The sequence below is a fragment of the Homo sapiens genome, chromosome 5 (assembly GCF_000001405.40).
Source record: "Homo sapiens chromosome 5, GRCh38.p14 Primary Assembly".
Lineage (NCBI taxonomy): Eukaryota > Metazoa > Chordata > Mammalia > Primates > Hominidae > Homo > Homo sapiens.
Window position 1 is genome coordinate 78,978,105 of NC_000005.10, and position 11,108 is coordinate 78,989,212.

Below are 11,108 nucleotides of genomic sequence, written 5' to 3' on the forward strand. Positions count from 1 at the left end.
AAGGCAGGTGGATCATTTGAGGTCAGGAGTTCAAGACCAGCCTGGCCAACATGGTGAAACCCCATCTCTATTAAAAATACAAAAACTAGGTAGGCGTGGTGGTGGGTGCCTATAGTCCCAGCTACTCAGGAGGCTGAGGCAGGAGAATTGTTTGAACCCATGAGGCAGAGGTTATAGTGAGCCAACACTGTGCTCCAGCCTGGGCAACAGAGCAGAGTGAGACTCTGTCTTAAAAAAAAAAAAAAAAACCCTCTAAATAAACAGAAAGACATCTCATATTCTTAAATTGGAAGAGTTATATTGTTGAGGTAGTAATACTCTCCAAATAGTTTTACAGATCACTGAAATCCCTGTCTACCAAAATTCCACTTCCCTTTTTTTTAATAGAAATGTACAAGTTGATCCTAAAATTTATGTGGAAATGCAAGGGGCCGAGAATAGCCAAACTATCTCGAAAAAGAATAACAAAATTGGAAGACTTGCATTTTCTAATTCTGAAACCTTTGTAATACAAAGCTACAGCAATCAAGACAGTGAGGCACTGGCATAAGGATAGGCATGTAGATCAATGGAATAGAATTGTAAGTCATACGTCTATGGTCAATTGAGTCTTGACAAGGGTGCAAAGGGTGCAATGAGGAAAGAACACTCTTTTCAACAAATAGCACTGAAATATTTGGACACCTACATGCATCCACATACCTCAAATTGTACATAAAAATGAACTCCAAATGGATCAAAGACCTAAATGTAAAAACTGAAAACTATAAAATACTATAAAACATAGAGGTAAATCTTCATAATCTTGGATTAGAAAATGGTTTCTTAGACATGGTACCAACAATATAAGCAACCAAAGAAAAATAGGTAAGTTGTACATAAAAATTTGTAACTTTTGTTTACATCAAAGGACACTATCAGGAAAGTAAAAAGCAATCCACAGAATGGGAGAAAATATTTGCAAATAATCTATCTAGTAAGGGTTTATTTAATAGTATCCAGAATACATAAAGAAATCTTACAACTCAAGAATGAGAAGATAAATTACCCAATTTTAAAACAGGCAAAGGATCTGAGTAAACATTTCTCCAAAGAAGACATAAAAATGATCAATAAGACATTAAAAGATGTTCAACATCATTAGTCATTAGGGAAATGAAAATCAAAACTACAATTAAATACCACTTCCTACTCACTAGGATGACTTGAAGGCTATAATCAAAAAGATAATGACAAGTGTTGGCAAGGATGTGGAGACGCTAAAACCCACATACGTTGCTAGTGGAAATATAACGTGGTATAGCTGCTGTGGAAAACAATTTCCAATTCCTCAAAGAGTTAAACATAGAGTTACCACATGATACTAAGACAGCCAGGTGGGAGGGGGTCCCTGGCAAAACTCCAGCTGGACTGTGCACTGGGGTGGAGCCACGGAGGTGGCGCCTGGCCTCTCCTCTTCCTATGGCACCTGGGATTCAAACGGGCAATGAGGGAAGCACTGTAGCAGGGACTCTGACCTTTCAGTGGGTCCCTGTTTCCCCCTTTTTTCCTTTTCACCCAATAAAACCCTGCTTTACTCACCCTTCAAACCATCTGCGAGCCTGAATTTTCATGGCCATGGGACAGACAAGGACCTCATCGTTAGCTGAACTAAGGAGAAGTCCTGCAACAATACGGCGTTTCACTCCTACATATTAACCCAAAAGAACTTAAAAAATATGCTGATACAAAAACTTGTACATGGATGTTCACAGCAGCATTATTCATAATAGCCAAAAAGCGCAAACAACCTAATGTCCATGAATTGATGAATGTATGAACAAAATGTGGCATGTCCATATCATGGAATATTATTGAGCCATAAAAGGGAACAATACATGCTACAACATAGATGAAAGGACATCTATTGTATTCCATTTATATGAAATGTCCAAAATAGGTAAAGTCACATAGATAATAAGAAGGCTGGTGGTTTCCAAGGGCTGGTGGAATGAGGAAATGAAGAGTGACTGCTAATAGTTGAGTGGTTTCTTTCTGAGGTGATGAAAATATTGGTTACACAACCTTGTGAATGTACAAAAAACCATTGAATTGGATACTTTAAAATGGTAAATTATATAGGATGTGAACTATAACTTAATATTGCCAGTGGGAATGTAAATTGGTACAATCCCTTAAGATGCAATTTTGCAATATTTATCAAAATTACAAATGCATCTATCCTTAAACCCAGAAAATTCCATTTCTAGGAACTTATCCTTCATATACGTTCCAATATGTACAAAATGACATATGTGCAAAGTATTCACTTCACCATTCTTTGATATATCAAAAGGCTGGAAACAACCTACATGTTCATCAGTATGCAACTGGCTAAATAAACTACAATGTATCCATTTAACAAAATATTATGCAGCCCTAAAAGCTGTGAGGATAATCTTTAGTCAACAAAATGGAATGATTGCAAATGTTAAGTAAAAACAAACAAACAAAATAGGAGCTGCAGATCAGTGTGAAGAGTATGTTACCATTCATACAGAAAAAAGAGAGAAATGATATATAAAAATATATAATTCAGAGCATTATTTGTCTACAAACATAGGAACTGAATGTCTAAGGAAGTGTGTGTATGTGTGTGTGTGTGTGTGTGTTTTGGTAGATTTTCACTGTAAGCCCTTTTGCAGCTTTTAAGTTTTTAAGCCATGTGAATGTATTTTCTATTTTAAAAATAAAATACGGATTTTTTTAAAGATTTCACAAATAATGAATGAATGAGTCATAGGGCTGTGGGAAGGCCCCTAGCCTGAGTGTAGAGAGACCTGAATTTCTAGTTCTTTTTTTTTTTTTTTTTTTTTTTTTTTTTTGAGACGGAGTCTCGCTCTGTCGCCCAGGCTGGAGTGCAGTGGCGCAATCTCGGCTCACTGCAAGCTCCGCCTCCCGGGTTCACGCCATTCTCCTGCCTCAGCCTCCCAAGTAGCTGGGACTACAGGCGCCCGCCACTACGCCCGGCTAATTTTTTGTATTTTTAGTAGAGACGGGGTTTCACCGTTTTAGCCGGGATGGTCTCGATCTCCTGACCTCGTGATCCGCCCGCCTCGGCCTCCCAAAGTGCTGGGATTACAGGCGTGAGCCACCGCGCCCGGCCGAATTTCTAGTTCTTGAATTTACCAGTAACTACTTACCCCATCTGCTAATTAGTCTCCTCCATTGCCTCCAACCTGTACCCAGTCCCTACACATATTTCACCATAGCATGCACATTTAAAATAGTTCATTTGTGAGGGCTGTGAACAATTAAATGTCTCACTATAAAAGGCTGAATTAAGTAAGTTCCTAGCAGCAGAACAAGTAGTACACGCAATTTGTAAGATACACTGTGTTGGGCAAGATTAATCTTTCTACCAGTAGATGGGGTTAGTATGATAGGTATGATAATGTGCATTTGCCAAGTTAGAAACTCGCCCTAATGGACACAAGAGCCTTAGAGTTAAATTAATTTAGAGCTAGACAAAGTCTAGAGTTCAGCCCAACTCCTCTGTTTCACAGATGTGGAAATGATGGCCAGCGAGGTCACAGTCTGACCAGCCAAGACCAAAACCTACATCTCAGTTCCTAACCAGTCCTCTTTACTCAATAAATAATTTCTGAAACCAAAAAAACTAAAACTCAGGATTTCATGAGAGTATAAAGTCCAGTCAGTCTAGGCTTGTTTATCAACTTGTGCTTTTCTTTTCTAAAGTTAAATAATTATGGGAAAGGGGTCTGTAAATATTAACTTAAAGCATGACTGCCAAGTTCATAGATATGACTCTTTTTTTTTTTTTTTTTTTTGAGACGGAGTCTCGCTCTGTCGCCCAGGCCGGACTGCGGACTGCAGTGGCGCAATCTCGGCTCACTGCAAGCTCCGCTTCCCGGGTTCACGCCATTCTCCTGCCTCAGCCTCCCGAGTAGCTGGGACTACAGGCGCCCGCCACCGCGCCCAGCTAATTTTTTGTATTTTTAGTAGAGACGGGGTTTCACCTTGTTAGCCAGGATGGTCTCGATCTCCTGACCTCATGATCCACCCGCCTCGGCCTCCCAAAGTGCTGGGATTACAGGCGTGAGCCACCGCGCCCGGCCAGATATGACTCTTAACAACTTCCTTCAAGTAACTCATTTTGAGACAGTCAAAAAATTCCTTCATTTTATTGTCTAAAATTATGCATAACAAATGACTCAGAAATAAAATCTATTTTTATTTTACATGGAATATAGGCAATTCCTAACTCAGAAATATGATGGGTTGATTCTTTACCTTGAGATATTTAGGAATGACCCAAATGTCCAAAAGTAATACAGGGATTATTTAGTATGTATGAAGCAGTCCTTGGGATGTTATTTTTAATAATTTTGAGTAGGCAATATGGCTTAGTGGTTATAGGCATCAACCCTAGGGCCACGTGCCCTGGGTCAAATCCTGGTCCAACATATACTAGCCCTGTAACCTTGGGCAAGTTTCTTAACCTCTTCCAGCATCAGTTTCCTTGTTACAGAACAGAGATGATAGAGTTGTTGTGAGAATCAAATGAGTTAACACTTGTAAGTGCTCAGAACAATACCAGCATATAGTATCTGACGGAGACTCCTGAGCCTTCCCTGAAATTTCTACTTCATTAAAAGTGGACACTTGCTCACCCTGGGTAACATCTACTTGGGTCTCATGAACTCTAAGAGAATAAAGTGGGTGAGAAAACTGGAGGAAAAAAAATGTTTGGGGAAGCAAGGCTGCTTTAGAATCAGCTACACTGAGAGGCCTCTAAACCTTTCAGAGTGCCCAGCTTCTCTACTCATCCTTTACTTCATAACCATGGGGTACTCTAAATACTAAAGTTTGTTCTCCAAGACATAATTTTGGTGACTGGTGGGGGAGGATGTTAGGGGACAAAAGCAACTGATTACGGGAATGGGTTTTTTATTTTATTTTGTTTTGAGATGGAGTCTTGCTCTGTCGCCCAGGCTGGAGTGCAGTGGTGCGATCTCGGCTCACTGCAACCTCTGCCTCCCGAGTTCAAGCGATTCTCCTGACTCAGTCTCCCGAGTAGCTAGGACTATAGACGCATGCCACCACACTCGGCTAATTTTTGTAGTTTTAGTAGAGACGGGGTTTCGCCGTGTTGGTCAGGCTGGTCTCGAACTCCTGACCTCAGGTGATCCACCTGCCTCAGCCTCCAAAGTGCTGGGATTACAGGCGTGAGCCACCGTTCCCGGCCCAGGAATGGGTTTCTGAAGTTGGTATTTGCTTTCCTGTCCAACTCTGTTGGAAGGGAGGAAGTTGGAGAAATGAATGGCCCTTCCATTCTTTTGCAATCTGAGTTCAGTTCTCTTACTTCAAAGCAAATGCAGAACCCTTTGGGCAAACCTCACCTTTCCCTTCTTCTTCTTCTTTACTGGCACATCCCTTTACTCCCACAAAGTGTCCAGGGTGAGATTTACACAATGTAGGGGATTCCTAATTACACGTAGCAGCCAAGGTCAGAACCGCCAAAAGTACTAAGGTGGATGGTGAAGGGAAGCATCCTTTACTCCCATTTCTAACCTTGGCTACAGCTATTTCTCACCCTTAGCAACACCCAATCTTTCCTCTTTATAAAAGCCTTCAGACCACTGCGCATATCTTTATCACAAGTAAGCCCTCCCTTCTCTTGATCTTAGGACCACGTGAGGCTAGGGTTGATCTGACAGGTTATGCGAACACACACTTGGGAGGGCAACATTCAAATATATATCCCCTGTCAGTAGCACAGTAAGCTCAAAATATTTTTGTTGAGTAAACAGCATATGTACTCTGTGAAGGCATGCAGGTGGTATCCAACAGTTCCCATTTACTGTATTTAATATGGTCATAATAACTTCAGGGTCTTAGAAATATGACAATCGTATTCAGATTGAGGGGAAAAAAGGCCAATTTCATAAGCCCGGGACGACCAGTGGATGCAGGAAAAGCACAACGGACACTGCCTTGACCACTTTCTAGCTGTGCGATTCTTATGCCAACGAGCCTTTACAGGCTTCCTGCCTCGTCTGTAAAACGGGGTAAAAACAACTACCTCATGCACTGTTTCAATAATTCACTTTAAAAACAACAAAGTGCTATGCAAATGTTCTTGATATTCTTAGCCATCTAACATCTATGCACGCTCTACATTTATATTTCCTTCGTTAACTGTGGAGCCGTTCCTAAAGGGAAGCTTTTAAAGCGATAATGAAGATGCTCAGAAGAGTTCAATACAAGGTTACATGTGAAAGGAATGTCAGCAGCCTAAGAAAAATCAACCTAGCATCAGGTTTCATTCCAGGGGTGTTGAGAACCTGGAAAAAAATAATCTTTGGTGGGACACTCCTAACCTATCACCGCTGGGTTCCCACGGGCCAGGGTCGCACCCACGGCGAGCACCCCTTCATTTTACCTCTCCCCTCGTCTTTGCTCCCAGCCCACGCCCTCCCCAGCCTCCCACCTCAGGACCGCTCCGCCTGCCGGCCGCGGCGCCCAGCACCCGGCATTCCCATAAACCCCTTCGCCCGGAGCTTCAGAAAACGAAAGACAAAGCCACCCGCCCAACCCGGCGGCCGGGGCGCGGGTCCGCGGGGCGCCAGAGCCGGGCATGCGCAGAGGCCGCGGCGGGCTGCCGGCCTGGAAGAGCGAGGTTGGGGCGAGAAGCCGCCGGGACCCATAACTGGGTCGGCGGTCCGAGCCCCGCCTGCCAGCGCCCGCGGCCTCAAGGGCCGGGTAGGAGCGGCAGGGCGCCGGCGAAAGGCGGGGCGGGGGCGGCGCGGGCGGCGGGGGCGCCGCGTACCTGGTAGCGGCCAGTGAGCAGCTGGCTCCGCGACGGCGTGCACAGCGGCTGCGTGTAGTAGTTGTCCAGGAGCACCCCGCCGGCCGCCAGCGCGTCCAGGTGCGGCGTGCGGATGCGGGAGCCGTGGAAGCCGACGTCGTTCCAGCCTAGGTCGTCTGCCAGCAAGAAGACCAGGTGGGGCGGCCGGCTGGCCCCGGCGCCCGAGCCCGGCGGCGCCAACAACAGCAGCAGCAGCAGCGGGAGGACGACGGGGAGGAGCAGCCGCCGAGGTCCGGGGCCTCGGGGCAAGCTCGCCGCGCCGCGCGGACCCATCCTTGTCCGCCCGCGGTCCCAGCGCCTGTGGCGCCACCAGCCCCTTGTACCGCTGATAGAATGAGGAACTGGGCTGCCGGGGCCTGCTCCGCCCCGGCGCGGGACGGCACCCCCAGCGGGCCGTGGGCTTGCGAGGCCGGGCGCTCGGCCCCCGCCGCCTCCGACCCGGGCCCCCGGCTGCTGTGGCGGAGGAGGAGCCAGAGACGAACCCGCGGGCGCCCGCTGCCCGGCTTCTTGGAAACTCAGCTGACGCTTGGAGGGCACCAAGGCCCGTTATCTTCCCCGGCAATTAAATTTGCACTGTGGTTTCCTAAAAAAAAAAGATGTGTTCTTTAATAACGCTTCACAATTTACAAAGCATCTTCACAGCCCGCGTCTCCTGTAAAGCCTGCAACAACTCTGACAGTTAGACATTATAATTAGTGCCAATTTTTCATAAGAAAAAAGCTTATAAATGGTTAAACCTCTGACTCAGATCCTGAACCATGATGTCTAGCTAGCAAGTCATTTCTAGCACAAGAGCCCAGCCTGTGGCAGGTGGGAGGACGGTGAAAAGGCAGAGGTCTAAATAGCCTTTCACATTCATTTATGCGTAGTGTACACCCATGAAGCCGCTTCCTCCCCACTAGCAAACAGGAGGCCAAACACACAGTCTGATTGCACGGTGCCCTTTGGAAGGTGCGGTTACTTTCAAGTTGCCCTGGGAGGATTTGGAGTGTTGCGTGGTCATTGAATAAATAGCTCATTCGCTTGTCCGGATATGACCCCACTCAGAGCTGGCTCCCCCACTAAGCAGTGACACTAAGAAGCACACAGTATCTAGTTAGCCTGAAATATCTGAGTGGAAGGAAAAAATCCTTTAGTCACGTGCTTATTGAATTAGGAAGTTAGCCGTATGACCAGTAGATTCCCGTTGCCATCCAGACTTTCTGTCTACTCTGTCTGGAGATATTATAGTTGTTAACAGGTGTAGGGGAAAATTTTTGCATTGCCTAGAGACCATACCCTTCCAGGTTGAGTCTGATTCCGTGGAAGTTGTTTACAACTTTATAAGTTATAGATAAATAACAATGGAAAATAATTCTTATTTATATATACACAAATGAACTTTATCCAGCGGAGTAGCAATCCTTCCCCTCCACCACTACCAAGGAAAACAGTTTCACCTCCGCTTGCATATTTATTTTAGTATTCCTGATCTGTTCTTTGGATTGTCCTTTGAATTGGTTTTAACACCTTACCAATTTCCTTATTAATGAGTTAAATAAAATCATGTATTCACTTTTATATTTGTATGAGGGTCATGATTTTACCTTTTTTTCCCCAAGAATCCTTTAACACATGAAATGTTTGCCTCTTACATACACTTTTTTTCTTTGCATGAAGTAGATTAGTTTATGTTGTATGCACTTTAATCTCTAGTGGAATCAATGAAATTTAGCAGAAAAAAGTGAAAATTTTAGCATTAAATTCAAAGAATAACTTTTGAGAGAACTGTTTGACTCATTATGTCAAGGGTTGAACTTTTCATTTAAACACCCTGTAGAAGACCTTGAAGGACTGAGAATTTCCGCTGTGGTTTTGTGTCTTTCTCCCCCGTAATCCTTCCTATTCTCCTTGATAAAAATTAAGAAGAAATAATTGATGGGTGCTAATCTGCAGGAACAATTCCTCCTTTAACCAACTTCCCCTGAAACTAGCTAAACTTGCACAGATTCTTACGTCCTATGTTTTTAAAATAAAAGCATATGTTAATAGTGCTCTGGAAATGTGCAAATTGAAGAGTTAATTCTATTTTCCATCTATGTATTGAACACATAATGTGCAGTACAAGCTAGTTATTTTATAAAATCTCTCAATTGGAGTTTGATGTTTCTTCACAATTAGATAGAGGTTATGGATTTGTGCAGGAATACCACAAAAAGTGATGTGGTATGTTTCTCGGTGCTTCCTATTAAGAGGCACATGATGCTGAATTGCTTTCTTATGGGATAACTTTGTTAAGGTAAACATTTCCTCATTGTAAGGTTAATATTTTCTTCTTGTAATTAATAAATATTTTATGGAGAGATAATTTGAGAATATGTAAATATCCTATTATGCCTCACACACATTATTTTGCTTACCAGTTTTAGTATCTTGCTTCTTGCTTCAATTAGTTATAATTAGGATGGCTACCAAATGCTGATTTTCTAATTCCTTCATTTCCTCTATATTTATGAGTTGCCTTTCTACTGTAAGGAAGAACTTTCCCTTCTCATTTATTTATTTCACTATGAATTCATGAATTCTTGTTTTAATCAATATGCTATAATCCTTTGCTATAGTTATTTCAATGCTCAAATTTTCTCTGTTTTGGCCAGTGGGAGCCCCTACAATCTGGCTCATATCCTTTTGGCATGTCCTCTTGAATCTTTGAGCATGTCCACACATTTTGATACAATGAGATTTTCTAGCCTCAACTTGCACTTTTCCTCTCCCAATCCTGGAATCAGACATTTCTCCAAGCAACACTGATTCTTTTTTTTTTAGACGGAGTCTCATCCTGTCGCCCAGGCTGGAGTGGAGTGGCGCGATCTCAGCTCACTACAATCTCGGCCTCCAGGGTTCAAGAGATTCTTTTGCCTCAGCCTCCCGAGTAGCTGGGACTACAGGCACATGCCACCTTGCCCGGCTAATTTTTGTATTTTTAGTAGAGACAGGGTTTCACCATGTTGGCAAGGATGCCCTCGAGCTCCTGACCTCAGGTGATCCACCCCCATCGGCCTTCCATAGTGCTGGGATTACAGGTGTAAGCCACCACGCCTGGCCAGAACGCTTATTCTTTTTAGGGATGACATTGAGAAACCAATCTCTGTGTTTTAGATGTGCTCATTGCTACTGGGCTGTCATCACTTCTGGGATCTCTCTCAAGACAAAGACAGGAACTATATATATATATATATATACACACACACTCACACATACATATATAAGTGTTTATACATACACCACACCCACATACTATATCTAAACATATGTATAAAACCATGAGTTTATAATGAGTACCTCTAATTCTATTTCCCCTCGTTTCTATATGTGTATGGGTTGTACCAGTTTTCATCACTAGCAACTGAGTAGTATAGTGAAAACAGTTTGGCAATTTCTTACAAAACTAGACCTATTCTTAGCCTACAATCCAGCAGTCACACTCCTTGGTATCTATCTGAAGGAGGTGAAAACTTATATCCACACAAGAACCTGCACACATGTTTATAGTAGCTTTATTCATAGTTTCAAAAACTTGGAAGCAATGAAGATATCCTTCGGTAGGTGAAAGGATAAACGGTGGTACATCCAGACAATGGAATAGTATTCAGTGGTAAAAAGATAGGAGCTATCAAGCCATGAAAATACATGGTGGAACTTTAAATGCATATTATGAAGTGAAAGAAGCCAATCTGAAATAGCTACATACTATATAATTCCAGCTATGACATTTTGAAAAAGGCAAAACTATGGAGACAGTAAAAAAGATCAGTGGTTGCTAGGTTTGGGAAGTGGGGATAAGTAGACGTAGCATGGGGGATTTTTTTAGGGCAGCAGTCACCAACCTTTCTGGCACCAGGAACTGGTTTTGTGGAAAGCAGTTTTTCCACTGACCGGGCAGCAGGGGTGTGGGGATGGTTTCAGGATGATTCAAGCACATTACATTTATTGTGCACTTTATTTCTATGATTATTACATTATAATATATAATGAAATAATTATACAACTCACCATAATGTAGAATCAGTGGGAGCTCTGAGTTTGTTTTCCTGCAACTAGATAGTCCCATCTGAGGGTGATGGGAGACAGTGACAGATCGTCAGGCATCAGATTCTCGTAAGGAGCACGCAGCCTAGATCCCTCACACACGCAGTTCATGATAGGGTTTGTGCTCCTAGGAGAATCTAATGCCTCTGCTGACCTGGCAGGAGGCGGA

General features: G+C 43.3%; 1 protein-coding gene across 10 annotated transcripts in view, besides 1 other annotated feature; it reads right to left on the reverse strand.

Moving 5' to 3' along the window:
* ARSB (arylsulfatase B) overlaps positions 1-7,854 on the reverse strand; it is a 208,750-nt gene extending 200,896 nt beyond the window's left edge. For 8 of the 10 annotated variants that reach the window (XR_001742066.3, XR_001742065.3, NM_000046.5 and 5 more), the window contains exon 1: positions 6,833-7,206. Coding sequence is in view for 8 of the 10 variants with exons in the window: in NM_000046.5 (NP_000037.2) it covers positions 6,833-7,144 (312 nt within the window). In the remaining 2 variants the exon portion in view is untranslated. Of the gene's footprint in view, positions 1-6,832; positions 7,455-7,794 lie in introns of those variants that run through there. The other 2 variants (XM_011543390.2, NM_198709.3) reach the window with 1 other exon arrangement.
* Positions 6,529-7,388: a silencer, noted in NCBI's record as "silent region_16127". NCBI's record gives its function as "represses an Ori minimal core promoter by ATAC-STARR-seq in GM12878 lymphoblastoid cells {active_cell/tissue: GM12878}" and the evidence as "EXISTENCE:reporter gene assay evidence [ECO:0000049][PMID:35858748]".